This window comes from Homo sapiens, chromosome 15, assembly GCF_000001405.40.
Source record: "Homo sapiens chromosome 15, GRCh38.p14 Primary Assembly".
Taxonomy (NCBI): Eukaryota; Metazoa; Chordata; class Mammalia; order Primates; family Hominidae; genus Homo; species Homo sapiens.
The window spans coordinates 76,397,656-76,413,377 of NC_000015.10; the positions used below are offsets into that span (position 1 = coordinate 76,397,656).

At 38.3% G+C, this 15,722-nt stretch overlaps 1 protein-coding gene across 19 annotated transcripts in view; it reads right to left on the minus strand.

The window, feature by feature from the left end:
• The window catches only part of SCAPER (S-phase cyclin A associated protein in the ER), a 557,437-nt gene that overhangs the window by 49,752 nt on the left and 491,963 nt on the right, over positions 1-15,722 (minus strand). For 16 of the 19 annotated variants that reach the window (NR_148227.2, XM_017022273.2, XM_011521653.4 and 13 more), the window contains one exon: positions 6,869-7,024. The exons of the other annotated variants lie outside the window; for them this stretch is intronic. Coding sequence is in view for 15 of the 16 variants with exons in the window: in XM_017022273.2 (XP_016877762.1) it covers positions 6,869-7,024 (156 nt within the window). In the remaining variant the exon portion in view is untranslated. The remainder of the gene's footprint in view (positions 1-6,868; positions 7,025-15,722) is intronic. 19 annotated transcript variants of the gene reach the window in all.

Genomic DNA, 15,722 nt, shown 5'->3' on the forward strand with positions numbered 1-15,722 from the left:
TTTTAGTAGAGACGGGGTTTCTACATGTTGAGGCTGGTCTTGAACTCCTGACCTCAGGTGATCCGCCCGCCTTGGCCTCCCAAAGTGCTGGGATTACAGGTGTGAGCCACCGCGCCCGGTCAGGAGACTTTTATTATAGCTTCAATCTCATCACTTGCTAATGGTCTGTTTTGGTTTTGGATTTCTTCATGTTTGAATCTTGGTAGGTTGCATGTGTCTCAAAACTTATCCATTTCCTCTAGTAAAAAGGTTTTAATGACGCTATTGCCGTTACCACATCTCAGCAAATTATTTTATGTAGTTCACAAAGTCTTTTTATATTTACGATCTCATTTGAGCCTCATAAGGATCTGCAAGCATTAAAATACCACCATATATATCTCAAAGTTCAGTTAAGGTACTCTATTCTTTGTATTTTTCTCCTTTATGTCTTTGCTTATGCTATTTTCTTGGTCCACCTTTTTCTCAACTCTACATGTTCTAATCTTTTCCATCTTTCAAGGGCCATGTTAAATTTTAGCTGCTCTAAAAAACAGCTAATCCCCACAGACAAGTAACCGTCATTTCTCCCTCCTCTGAACTCCATCAATGACAATGGTGATAATAGTGGCCAACATTTATGAAGCATTTACTATGTACCAGGCAGCATGTTAAGTGCTTTTGTTATCTTCTGTCCTCTTGATCACTCTCTGTCTTGTACTGTAGATAGTTGTATAGGCATCTTTTTCCCCCTACAAGCTTACAGAGTCCTTAGACAAAATTGATGTCTTAGCCATTACTGCTTTCTCCCAATCCTAGCACAGGGCCTGGCACAGAGCAAGTGCTACATAAATATTTGTTCAATGAATGAATAGGCAGGCGGGCAGAGTTAACATTTACCTTTGCTTGAACAAATGGTTTTCAAGCACCCTTAAACACTTGAAAAGCACTCATTTATAGCCACATAATAAATAGACTAAATCACAAATCATTCTTATCTTTTCATGACACAGGTTTCCAGAACTTTGGCTAGAACACATTTTGTTATTGTCATCTATGGATGTGAAAATGAAAAACACAAATATATATAACATCAAACTTGTTTTTGTATACAAATATTCTTGAATTCACAAGTCTTTTCCAACCAATCAGAATTATCCAGGTTTTATAAGTTCCTCTCTTCAGTGTAGTTGTAAGGATTGCAAACTCTTTTACTGTGGGTCCACTGCTTCCTGGCTTTGTTGCCATAGTGCCTAGCACAGTTAGGAATACTGTAAATGATTACTGATTAAGTTAACAGCCCATGTTGGTTTCAATTTATAATCACTCATTATTATGCTGATCCTATTAGTTCTGCTAAGGAGTCAGCACCTTAAGGGGGACCCAATGAGCCTCAACCAATTACAGCAATTGAGCTCCTGCCCTGAGATTTGAAAACCATTGTTTTCTCTTTACTTGTAGGACCAAGAATAGAAAACTGTTAACAGTAAAGGCCAAAGAAATAGGCATTTCATTTTTTTTGAGATGGAGTCTCACACTGTTACCCAGGCTGGAGTGCAGTGGTGCCATCTCGGCTCGCTGCAACCTCCGCCTCCTGGGTTCAAGCAATTCTCCTGCCTCAGCCTCCCAAACAGCTGGGATTACAGGTGCCTGCCACCACTCTCAGCTAATTTTTGTATTTTTAGTAGAGATGGGGTTTCACCATGTTGGCCAGTCTCGTCTTGAACTTCTGACCTCAGGTGATCCACCTGCCTTGGCCTCCCAAAGTGCTGGGATTACCTGAGCCACCACACCTGGCCAGAAATAGGCATTTCTGAGAGTCCCATTACAGACTATTGAATTTTGCTGAAGTGATTAAGAATCATTTGTTAACAATATTAAAATTCTGAAGCAATTCTGACATAAAATCAATCCTTTCATCAGAGGATCACGATTTCAATTTTTACTTAAAGAAATGCAAGTTCATTGTTCAAAACTAAGCCTGGTACAAGTCATCAGCTATTGCTTTTCTATCCCAAGTTGAAACAAAGACTAACAGCACAAATTCTGACATCCAAATCGTGTTTCGGAAAACCTAGGTAAAAATTTGGCTGAGTAAGGTGGCTCAGGCCTATAATCCTAACACTTTGGGAGGCTGAGGTAGGTGGATCATCTGAGGTCAGGAGTTTGAGACCAGCCTGGCCAACATGGTGAAACTCCATCTCTACTAAAAATACAAAAATTAGCCAGGCATGGTGGCAAGCGCCTGTAATCCCAGCTATTCGGGAGGCTGAGGCAGGAGAATAACTTGAACCCAGGAAGCAGAGGTTACAGTGAGCCGAGATGGCGCCACTGCACTCCAGCCTGGGCGACAGAGCGAGACTCCGTCTCAAAAAAAAAAAAAAAAAGAGAAAAGAAAAGAAAAGAAAACCTAGGTAAAAATTAGAAGATTAAGGGCACAATAGGAGAGTAGTGCAAAGGCAGACTAGCGGTAATCACCATCACAAAGGCTGGGCCACCAGCAGACTGCAGTGTTTACTCAAAGCCTGGAGATATCAATTAGTCCCCTTAATTATCTCAGGCTCTGCCATCACAAGAGGCAATTTTTGAAGCCCTCTCTAGCTCCTCTTCCTCTTTCATTCCTGTCACAAAAGGGCTAGGAGGACAAAGCCTTCCTTGACTCTGGTTCTGGCTAGCTTCTGGTAGCCAAAATAGACATTATGTGAATTACTCCAATAAAGCAAAAACCACACTACCTTTCCTCTTAGACATGGCTATGACCTATAGCAGAAACTCTATTTAATGCATGCAACAAAATGCTTGTCACTGTCATTTATAGCTTAGAAATATAATTTTCATGAAGAAATAAGCAGGAGAAAACAATCTGTAAATATCAGAAGTAAATGAATCTGAGGAGGTAGAAAAAACTCCCTGTATTCCTGTGGTCTGGTGGTGTTCAGGAAATGTTGGGAGACTGAAGGATGAGAGGAAGAACAACAATAAGGGGTCATTTTTCTCAGCTCTTTCAGAGAAGTAGCTTACACTGATACTGCAAATAATTTCCTAGGTAAATTAAGCCAGGAAACCACCTGGACCTTCTTTCTAGAATAATCTGTTTTTGTAGTAAGTCCTACTAACAGAAGTTTGCTAAGCAATTGAGGTTAGAGAAGGAAATTATAATGGAGATAAATAGATTAAGAATTCTTAAAAACCATCAAGAGTAAATCACTGTTTAAAATCCAGTTGTATGTGTACACAGAAGGAATTATATTTCATATACATAATAAAATAAATTATATAGTAATTAAAAATTTTAAATAAAATGTATCAGATGTGTAAACATGTAATTTATCAGATGTATAAATATATAATAAATATAAAATTTTGAGTGGTAGACAGTATAGTTTCCAAGTTTGAGAATATAAGCAGTTTTTCTTAGTGGAAATATAAGTTTGGTCCTAGGCATGCCTGAAGATTATCCAAGTAGACCAAAGTTTACACATATATGTATATGTATATGATATGTATATGTATATGATAATCTTATATCATATATAACAACCCTTAGGCATGTCTAGGACCAAACTCATATTTCCACTCTGAAGAACTGTTTATATTTCCTAATTTGAAGACTGTGCTATCTACCATTCAAAATTTTATAGTCAGAAACCTGGGAGTCATTCTAGATGCTTCCCTTCCTTTCACCCCCCACATCATGAAACCCTATGCCATCTCCCCTACATTTGTTCTACTCCCTCGTAATGTATTTGCTCATCTCTATTTTCATTGACCTTACTGGCCCTCAACATGTCTCAGTTGGATTATGCAAGAGCTTCTTTACTAATCCTTCTGCCTCTAGGCTTGTGCCATTCCAGTCATCTCTGTGCTTCTTAGGAGTGATCATTCTGTAACAGAAATTTGATCCTGTCCTCCCTCTCAAGCAACTTTAGCAGCCTTTGACAGCTCTAGTCTAGCTCTTGTAGCCCTTTGCACCTCCCAAGAACTAACATTTATGGAGCTCATTTAATACCTCATCTCCTGCTGCTCTCCACATTTACCCAATTGCACAGCTACATCAAACTAAACATGACGCTAACTCTTGTATGTCCGTATCTCTTGGTTTGGGCTGCCCTAAAAGCAGACCCTGAAAAAATAATATGGGTGCAAATAGATTATTTGTGAGGATGTAGAGAAGAGAAACAGGGAAGGGAGAAAACTCAATCAAGGATGTGTTAAAGAACAGGTTACGGGCCAGGCGCGCCCAGCACTTTGGGAGGCTGAGGTGAGTGGAGCACTTGAGGTCAGGAGTTCGAGACCAGACTGGCCAACATGGTGAAACCCCATCTCTACTAAAAATACAAAAATTAGCCAGGAGTGGTGGCCTGTGCCTGTAATCCAAGCTACTCAGCTGGCTGAGGCAGGAGAATCGCTTGAACATGGAAGGCAGAGGTTGCAGTGAGCTGAGATAGTGCCTCTGTACTCCAGCCTGGGCGACAGAGTGAGTAAGATTCAGTCTCAAAAACAAAACAAAACAAACAAACAAACAAACAAAAAACAGGTTAGGGCTTAGGATCCTGTGAGAACTGTACAGAATATACTCAGAATTGTACTACTGAACATTAGGGAAGTGGGGGTATTATCTACCAATTTATTGTTTGTATTATCTACCAATTTATTAACGCCACTACTGGAGGTGTTAAACTCCTCTGCACTCTAGCAAATAGCTCCTTGTCCAGAGAACGTCCTGAGGCAGAGAAATACAGAAAGCCATTGGCAGATGACCACGTGAACCAAAGGCACCAATAACATCTGGTATACCACATAATGTACATATCATACCGTTTTTCTCAACTGATTTTTTTCCTTCCACTTGTCTTGGATTCTGCCTATGGAAGCCTTTTTTGACCTCCTCTGTAAGTGCTTTACTTCCTTTTCTGTGCAAATTCTCTTCTGCTATAACTATTACTTTATAAGTCTGACCCCACACTAGACTCTTGGCTCCCTGAGGGCAGTATCTTTAGTACCTACCTAACTTGGTGTTTGGCACAGGACAGATGCTCAATGTCTTCAGGACAAGAGCATGACTGTGTGCATTAAAGAGAAGATCCTGTTTCCATGTTCCATATGTAATTGAGAAAATTTTCAAAGAAATGAAATATATGCTTCTACATCCTGAATAATATAAAGTCAAGCAGAAGGAGTATCAAGCTAGAAATCTCAGGACCTCATTCAAGTCAGTTTGGCTCAGTTGTTTTTCCTACAAAAAACAAGTGACGGTGAATGACCCTTAGGTTTCTTTTAAATTCCATAGATTTTAAGTGACTGAATCTGCGTGTAAGTGACAGCTGAAGCCCACAGACTGTAAAACAATCACATACGGAAATGCTTATATTTGTGATATTGATCTGGATTCGAGAAAATACAGGTGACACAGACTTGAGATGCTGGCAGGTTTGTAATGTAATGAACACAGGGAAACTGTGTTCAAAAAGAGAGAGGGTCAGCACAGGTCTCCTGCCTGAGAGGACACCTCCATGGAGGGGCCTGGCCAATGCACAGGAACTAGCTGGGCAGCATGGTGGCCTCCAAGCTGGCAGGTGCCACTGTTCCAGATGGACAGTGTTTGGTATGCCAACCTCTGTGTACTATGGTACTACCTGATCCTACGTAGGTCACAGACCTACAAAAAGTCACTTCCTGAGCTCTCACTGAAGGTAGGCTTGGTCTACATTTCTTGATGGGAAGAGACTAACTTGAAACACTGAACACAGGCATGCTTGGCTTCCCTGACTTCTCTAGACAGTCTTAATTTTATTAGAACGTGACTGGTGGTGAGGGACTGGGTAAGAGTAAGGAAGGATAGGTGGGCTTAGGGGTCCTATGTATAATGAACTAAAAAATGTTGAGGATGTTCATTTTAGAATATAGTTTCCCCCTCTTAAAATGTTCTGAATATAGTCACTGGTATTCTGTGAACACTGAATATAGATGGATAATATTTCCTTAAGAAGCTAGACTTTAGAAGCTTAGACTGGACAAATTCCTAAAAATACAAAACACATAATTAAAAAATAGGTAATACATATGTGCTGTTTAGAATTAATTATAAGAAAATTATTTGATTGAACATCCTCGATATGCCTAAGGGATATGTCATATTCCTATCAGAAAAATGGAGGCACTATTATCAACGATTCTTACTTGGTGAGGGATGGGTTGGGGAGAAGACAAGAAGACCCAGAGGGTTACTTGTGTCCTTCCTAGAGAATTATTGTTTTTGAGGACAGTCCGCAGGGTGGGATGGGGTAGGATGGAGTAGGATGGGGTAGGGTAGTCTAAACAGCCAACCAGGCCAGTAGTAGTCCCTGGCACACTGGCTTTCACTATGCCCATGGGTCACGTGTGACTTCAGGGACCTATTGTTTTAGATGGCTCCCTTCCCTTATTCATGGAAGTACTCTGGAAGAAGGGACAGAGGGAAAATAAACCTAGCAGCCTATAACTGAAAGCACATGAATGACGGTAATGAGCACTTTCAGGCTGTACTGTGTAGGGCTGACGGCTTGGCTTGGTCTGGTCTAGGCTTTGTTTCCTTCGATGACTGAAGGAGAATCACTGGACTCCTCTGGATCTCAGTGGAAGAGGGACTGGATGACCTCTTAGGTCTCTTCTAGCAATGACAGTCAAATTTATGACACCAACAAGAAAAAAAGACTGGTGAGAGTGTGTGGCCCAGAAAAATGAGAAATTAATATACATCTCAATATAGAAAGCCAATGATGGGGAAAGAACAAAGAGGAAAGATGGCCAAGATGACCACTTGAATTCCTATGAAATGACCCTAGAATGGGCAAAATTCAAGAGATGTTCCAAAAGTTGAGTCTAGATTGAGATCAAGTAGATGCCTTACCTTCCAGTGACAGCAAAGCACAGTGTACACATTGCATGTAAGAGTCCTGCGGCATGCTGCAGAAATATGGCCATCTTGGGATTCTCATCCACTGGGCCTTGCACCGAGAGGAAGCAGGCACACAGTTTGTCAATCAGACCCATGTTCACCACGTAGCTAGATATGGGGGAGAAATGCATGTTATCAATCTGAATAGGCCAGCAACATCTTCACCTTCAATGATAAATGCTACCATACACAGGCTTGGACCCCTCAAACATGCAGACACAACACAAGTTTGAGTAAAGCATCTCAAGTAACAATTTCCTTAGATTTACTCCTGAATAATCAGCTCTTTCTGTAAGTATTTTTTTCTCTCTTCTTTCTTTTGGTTATTTGAATATTATTTTTCAAGAAAAAAATGAATGACAATGATTATCTAGTCATTCTTACTGGTCTAAAGAGTCTAACAACAAGTGAAATGATTTATAATGACCTTTATGCTCTTAAAAACTGTTCCTTTTTAAAGTACTAGGTAGCCCCAATGCAAGGATTTAGAAGATACAGTACAATGATTCAACTCAGACACTCTTGTTACAACTTACACTTTTTTTTTTTTTTTTTTTTTTAGAGACAGCGTCTCACTCTGTCACCTGGCTGGAGTGCAGAGACATGATCATAGCTCACTACAACTCTAACCTACTGGGCTCAAGAGATCCTCCTGCCTCAGTCTCGCAAGTAGTTGGGACTACATGCGTGTACCACCATGTGCAGTTAATTTTTTTTTTTTATTTGTAGAAATGGGGTTTTGCTATAGCTGCCCAGGCTCTTCTTGAACTTCTGGCCTGATGCGATCCTCCTGCCTCGGCCTCCTAAAGTGCTACAATTACAGGCATGGGCCACCATGCCTGGCTACAACTTAAACTTCTAAAGCCAGTTGTAGGTTCTCTGTTTTTAAAGACTCTGTCACCATTAACAGCATAACAAACAGTGAGAATCTAATTGCTTTTACTGAAAAGTACCAGTCCTGAGGGTTGACAACAACATTTAAGAAATCATTTCCATCTTTTCAGTACAAAACAGTTTTCTAGAGCTGTTTGTAAACTGGACTGACAACAGTAACTCTTTTATTAATCCACAGAGCAGCAATCATTGAAAAGAATATTTTAAAACTATAAAAGACCTTGTAGATAAATCAACCTTGGCCTAGAAATTCAATGCTACTGCACTGACATGTATGAGAAGGGTAGGACTGCAAATATAGCAGTTCTGCAAATCAACATGTTAACTTTCAGAGATATACACAAAGGAATTGAGGTTTTGGTGTGTAAGTGCACTACAGTCCCCACTATTCATTTACCAACACAGGTTTTTGTAAAAGGAAGGATAAACTGATGAATAATTCATGTCTGGAGCCATTCCAAGTTTACTATGTTGAAGGTACAAAATAGTGCCTCCTTTCATCTTTTACATTAGACTATGTATCTACCTGGGCTACTGAGCACTCCTACAGTTTTAAAATTGGGAAGTATGAAATGACGACCACCAGACCTCTTCTAGTAAAGGAAATTGATAGACTGATATATGTACACACTGAGAATCTTATTACAATCTGATTGAACAAAATTAGACTTTTAAAAACTGGCTTTTACATTTGCACAGAACTCTTCAATTTAGAAAGTGTTTTGTCTGTAGCCAGACACGGTGGATCACACCTGTAATCCCAGGACTTTAGGAGGCTGAGGCAGGTGGATCACTTGAGGTCAGGAGTTCCAGACCAGCCTGGCCAATATGGTGAAACCCTGTCTCTACTAAAAATACAAAAATTAGCCAGGCATGGTGGCTGGAACCTGTAGTCCCAGTTACTTAGGAGGCTGAGGCAGGAGAATCGCTTGAACCCGGGAAGTCGAAGTTGCAGTAAGCCAAGATCATGCCATTGTACTCCAGCCTGGGCAACAAAGTGAGACTCCATCTCAAGAAAAAAAAATCAAGTGTTTTGACTGGGTAAAGTAGCTTACGCTTGTAATCCCCACACTTTGGGAGGCTGAGGCAGGAGGATTGCTTGAGCCCAGAAGTTTGAGACTGGCCTGGGCAACATAGTGAGACCCTGTCTACACACACACACACACACACACACACACACACACTAGCAAACAAAATAAAAGAAAGTGTTTTATCTTAATCATCCCAATGAATTATCCCAAGAACACCATTAGGGAGCAGACTGTAAAAGCTTTTGTTTTTATCTGCCCAGCACATTCTCCTCTCCTATTTCATATGGTCCTGGGGGCATTGTTAAAGATGCTACCTGCTTGCTAATGCAGGAGTGAGCATGTGCTTCAGGACAGTCAAAGTACTCATCATCTTGGCCATAATGACTGGTTCCAGGATGAGTATATGACCTAGGGAGGACCACTCAACATCTTCTGTGGGATTAATATATGACCATAGGAAAAATATCTTTCCACTGGGGATATCTAAACTAAAATATGTAACTCTGGGGGTGCTGGTAGTCAACTTGTTACATGGAGAACATCTGCTTAGAGAATAAAGCCAAGTAGAGATAAGTAGAATTGAAAGAAAGAAACAAAGCTGTAATGGCATATGGGGACGCATTCTGAGAACTGCATCATTAGGCAACTTTGTCATTGTGCAAACATCATAGAGTGTACTTACACAAACTTAGATAGTATAGCCTAACCTAGGCTATATGGGATAGCCTATTGTTCCCAGGCTACAAACATATACAGTATGTTACTGCAGGGAACAATGCAGGCAACTGTAACACAATGGTAATTATTTGTGTATCTAACCATAGAAAGGGTACAGTAAAAATATAGTATTGTAATCTTACAGGACCGCCATTGTATATGTGGTCTGTTGTTGACTAAAAAGTCATTATGCAGTGCATTACTATACTCAGAGCCTTGGCATCTAGTTCAAACCTTGACCTTCCCAGGTACACAAGCCATTTTACTATTCTGTTTTACTTACGTTGTTTCAAGCTAAGGTTCTAAAAGAGTTCTAACCAGAGTGAAAACTTGTTTTTTTCTGATTATAGTGGTAATATAGGCTCATTATAGAAATTTATATAGTAAAGAAAAGCAGAAAAATCAGTAGAAAAAGTTAGCCATAATTTCACCTTTTAAAGACAATCACAGTTTGATAATTTTCCTTTCATGTTTTTCTATTTGATTCTTTCTCCACATGATTGACATTATACCGAATTTCATTCAATGACTATTTAGGCCCCTTCTATGTCATGAAAACATCTTGGTTAAGCATTATATTTTAAATCTTTATTGACAGAATAGGATAACAAATACCCATGCATTCATCACACAGCCCTTACTACCATCAACCCATGGCCAATCCTATCTGTCCACACCCATCCTGCATAAAGTTTAAGCAAATCCAAGGCATATTATTTCATTTGTAAATGTTTCCATTTCTATCTCTAAAAAAAATCACTTAAAAAAAACAAAACCACAACATCATTATCACATCTAAAAATCACCATTTCTTAATATCATCAAATAACTGGTGTTCAAATTTCTAAATGTACCATAAATGCCTTAATATTTTAAATAGTTTTTTTTAAAATTAGAATCCAAACAAGAACCACACATTGTGACTGGTTAATATGACTTAAGTCTCTTTTTAATCTGTTAGCTACCCTCCATCTTTTAAAACCCCCTTTGAAAATGTATGTATTTGTTGATGAAACCTGGTTGTTTATCCTATACGCTTTCCCACAAGTTGAATTTTGCTGATTATATCCCTGTGGTGTCACATAACATTTTTTGGAACTATTTATTTCCTGTAAAATGATCTAGGTTCTAGAGGTCTGACTGGATACATAAACATCATTTTTAATGATTGAATAATATTCTACCAGTGGAATGTTTTTGCAACTTTTGGTTGTTTTCAATATTCCTTATTATAAACCATGCTGTGCCAAACATTTTGAGTAGAAAACCTTGCCAGATTTCAGACTATTTTCCACAAGTGGAATTACTGAGTCAAAGGGTATGCATATTTTTAGGGCTCTTGATATACATAGCCACGTTATATTCAAGAAACATTAAATAAATTTATAGTCTCACGAGCAAGGTACGAGAAAACCCAGTTCACTATGTGGGGGTTGGTATGACTATCCCCATTTGATAGACAAGGAGACTGATGCTCAAGGAAGGCAACGCACAAGCTCAAGCAAAGACGGCTGGAACATTCTATGGTTTTCTGACTCCTGATAAGAGGGTCCTTTGCACTGAATTCACTGCTTTTCTGTGGCATTTTTTGGGTCCTTACTGAGGTCTAAAGTGATCACACAAAACTTCAAAACCATGTAGTCTCAAGATGAAAATGGCTTAGCTAGGTTTCCGGTACCATCCTTGAAACAGCCAGAAAGGAAGAAAGACTACAAAATGAGCAAAGAGATAAAAAGCATTGTAAAGCCAAGGCAAACTGAAACAACCACTTGTTGAGTGGTTGGTCCTTTCTGAGTATCGTCTCCTATAGGTTACTGGGCCATCTACAGTGCCTACTAATGAGTCAGTCTAATGTTTTTCTAAATTGCCTATGTCTTGACTGCATGGACAATCTTTAAATGACTGGCTAAGAAGATGCTTAAACTAAATGGCTCTAAAAGGTCAGTGTAGAGAAATTCATTTTGTCAATCTCATTGTTTTGAGGGAAGAATATGGAACTTTCTAATGAACACTGGGGTCAAAAGCAACATATCTTTTGCATTGTAACTGTTAGGTTGAAATTATAATGTTGAGGCTATTACCACACCCAGGATGAAAAGCTTTAATACAGAAAACTTCCTAGTCTTCTTGGAACACACATCCTGGGAAAGAAACATGCTGCTGTAAATGATAAATAAATGGGTCTCTCCATTTGCTTTGCCATTTGAAATTTAAAATGAGTCCCTTTGCAGCTTTCTGTCATTGGACTTTACAAACAGAAAGGGATATTTAGAAACATATACATTATGTGTGTGTGTGTGTGTGTATACGATGTTCACTATTTGGGTGACGGATTCACTACAAGCCCAAACTTCACCATTAGGTAATATATCCATGTATTATGTACCCCCGAATCTATTAAAAAAAAAAACTAAAATGAGTTATTGTTTCTTTGTCCATCCTTGTCTACCTATCCACTCTCACATTCCAACCAAATTGTTGCTTATTAGGGTTCTATCCCTGAACTAAATTTAGTAAAGTCATGCAATTCCATGGTTTCAACTATCCTCGATATGTTAATAATAATTCCCAATTCTATCTCAAGGCCTACTTTTGTTTTTCTTTTAGAGACAGGGTCTCACTCTGCTGCCCAGGCTGGAGTATAGTGATGCAATCATGGCTCACTGCTGGACTCAAGGGTCCTCCCACCTCAGCCTCCTGAGTAGCTGAGACTACAGGTGCATGCCATCAGGCCTGGCTAATTTTTTTTTTTTTTTTTTGGTAGAGACAGGGTTTTGCCTTGTTGCCTAGTCTGGTTGTGAACTCCTGGACTCAAGCGAGCTGCCCTCCTCAGCCTCCCAAAGTGCTGGGATTATAGGCATGAGCCATGGCATCCGGCCTACTTCTTTTCTGAACTTCTTTCTTAAAGTACTAGTTTATGAATATTTTCCCTTGGGGGTCCCAGGGCACCCCTATATTTGTATGTTCAAATAAAACCTCATTATCTCTTCTGAAATCTCCTTCTCCCACTATTCTTGTCCAAATGAATGTCATTATTCATCTCACAGTAATGCAAGAAATTTTAAGATAACCGTTTGTAATCATGCATTCATCCACTCAATTATTTCTAAGTATGATGCTGATGCTAACCTTAAGGACCTCTTAACATTGTAGCTGACACATAATTTCTACATTACTATGATTAATTCTATAATAGAGGTATGTTCAAAGTATTACTACTATATAGCAGAAGTGCCAAATTTTGGCTTAATGGGCCAGGGCTAGCTTCTCAAAAGAGGTGGCATCTTCATATTTTTAAATGAATTCATCAGGTAGACAAGGCCCAAGGCTGAGGTAGATAGAAGCTAATTCTACCTCTAAAATAGTCCTAAATCCTTCTTGCTTCCACTCTAATTGTTATTGCTATAGTTTGGTCAAGGTCACATCCTATCAGGCTAAGTTACTGTGGGATATTAGAAACAAGGCCTGACCTGAGTCTCAGCCTCTTTATATCTACCCCACTAGTAAAGTTGATTCCTTCATATATGGCTAATGAATGTCTTCCTTCAGTTTAGAAGTGTTCTATTCTTGCTTTTTTTTTTTTCTGTTGTACTTCTCCTGTTACCTTATTTGAGAAGATCAATTATTCAACATTTTAATTCTATTGTCTATCCTTCACATCTCTTGTCTTCTTGCTAATCACATTTGTGATAACCTTTGTCCTTTCTCTCTGCTGTCACTGTGATTAATAATCAACTGCTTTCTCTTGAGATATATTCCAAATAATAAATGCACAAAACTTAAGTGTTTGGTTTGACAAGTTTTGAAGACCATATAAATCTACATAACCATCCATAAAAACAAGATATAGAACATACTCATCATCACAGAAAGATCCCTTGTTTTCTATCCAATCCTTTCCTATCTCCATATAAAGGAAATCATTCAAAATGTTCTCTTTTATATCTGTCCCTGGCTAAACATGATGTTTTTGAGATTTATTCATGTTGGTGCATGGGACAATAATTCCTTTCTTTATATTGTTGATTAGTATCCCACTGTATGAATACAGGTTGAGCATGCCCAACCTGAAAATACAAAATCCTCCCAAACCCAAAACTTTCTGAGTATCAACATGATGCTCAAGAGAAATGCCCACTGGAGCATTTCAGATTTTGGATTTTCAGATTTGGGATGTTCAACTGGCAAGTATAATGCAAATACTCAAAAATCCCTTCCCCGCCCAAATCCAAAATCCAAAACACTCTGGTCTCAAGCATTTCAGATAAGGCATACTCAACCTGTATGCTATGATTTGTTTGTTCCTTCTCTTGTTGATGGATGTATATGTTATTTACAGTTTTTGGTTATCATAAATAAGACTGCTATGAAAATCCATGGGAAAGTCTTTTTGTGAACATGTGTTTTCATTTCTATTGGGTAAATACCTAAGAGTAGAATTGTTGAGTCATAGAATAGATGTGTTTAAATTTACAAATTTATAGAGTTCTTCAAAGTGGTCATTTCATTTCATTCTCCCAGAAACAATGTATTAGATCTCCAGTTGTTCTATATCCTTACCAACATCTGGTATCATCAATCTTTTTTATTTTAGCCGTTTTATTGGATTTGAAACAGTACCTTGGTATGATTTTATTTTGCATTTCCCTGATAACTAACATACTGAACACACTTCCATGTGCTAAGTAGTTATTTGTGTATCTTTCCATGTGTTAAACGGTTATTTGCATATTTGTATCCAAATAAATCTTTCCCCCATTCCATGACCGCAAAGATATATATAGTCCCATATTTTCTGCTAGAAGTCTTATGGTCACAACTTTTGTGTTTAGATCTGTGATCCATCTCAAATTAATTTTGTATATAACAAGAGGTTACTTTTCTTCCATATGGATATCCAGTTGTTCTAGCACCATTCATTAAAATAACTTTCCTTTCCCTATTAAATTAATCTGATCCCTTGATCAGAAATCAACTGACGAGAGGTTGCTAGAGGTTGTGGGGGAAGGAGGAATGATAGATGGGGTTATATGATACTGTACTGATGAGTACATGGCATTATACATTTGTCAAAATCCGTAAGATATTTAACACCAAGAGTTAACCTTAATGTAAACTATGGACTTTAGGGTGATAATGACATCAATGTAGGTTCACTGACTGTAAAAAATGTACCACTCTAATGAGGCCTACTGGAGGCTGTACATGTGTGTGGCCAGGGGGTTTATGGAAATACTCTATAGTTTCCACTCAATATTGCTGTTAACTTTTAAAACTGCTCTAAAAAATAGTGTATTTTTTTTTCAAAGCCTAATCAGCTCCCCCACCCCAAATAATTGGACCGTATTTGTGTAGGTCTATTTCTGTGCCCTCAATTCCATTTTGACCTATTGATCAATCTTATACCAATACCAGACTGTCTTGATTAGCATAACTCTGTAGTAAGTCCCCAAATCAGGCAAGTCCTCTGACTTATTATTCTTTTTCAAAATTGTTTTGGCTGTGTTAGAGCCTTAACTTTTCCATAGAAATCTCAGAGCTGACTTGTAAATTTATTTCTAAAGCCTGCTGGGATTTTGATTAGGATTGCACAGAGTCTATAAATTAATTTGGGGAAAAATAATGTTTTACCAATATTGAGTCTTCTGATCCATGGATATTATATATATCTCCGTTTATTTAGGTCTTTAATTTCTCTCGGTAATGCTTTGTAGAGGTGTTGCTTTACTTTCATGAGATTTACTCAGAGGTATTTGATATTTTCTGATGCTTTTTATAAATGGTATTGTTTTTTAAATCTTGATTTCTATTTGTTGCTATACATAGCGATATGACTGATTTTTGCATAAGTTATATTTGTATATTCAAACCTTGCTTAAATCTTACTTAACAGTTCTATTAAATAATCATTTTTTTCTTGGTAGATTACATAGTTTTCTATACGTGCAATCATGAGACTGCAAATAATAATAGTTTTATTTTGTCCTTTACAAACTTTATGCCTTTTCTTTTTCTGCTTCTTACTGAACTAGCTAGAACTTTCAATACAATGCTGAATAGAAGTGATGAGGGTAAACAGTCTGTGTATTCCTAATCTTAAAGGAAAAGTGTTTATTATTATGTACGATTTAGCTGTTTTTCCCGTCTATTCCTAATTTGCTGTT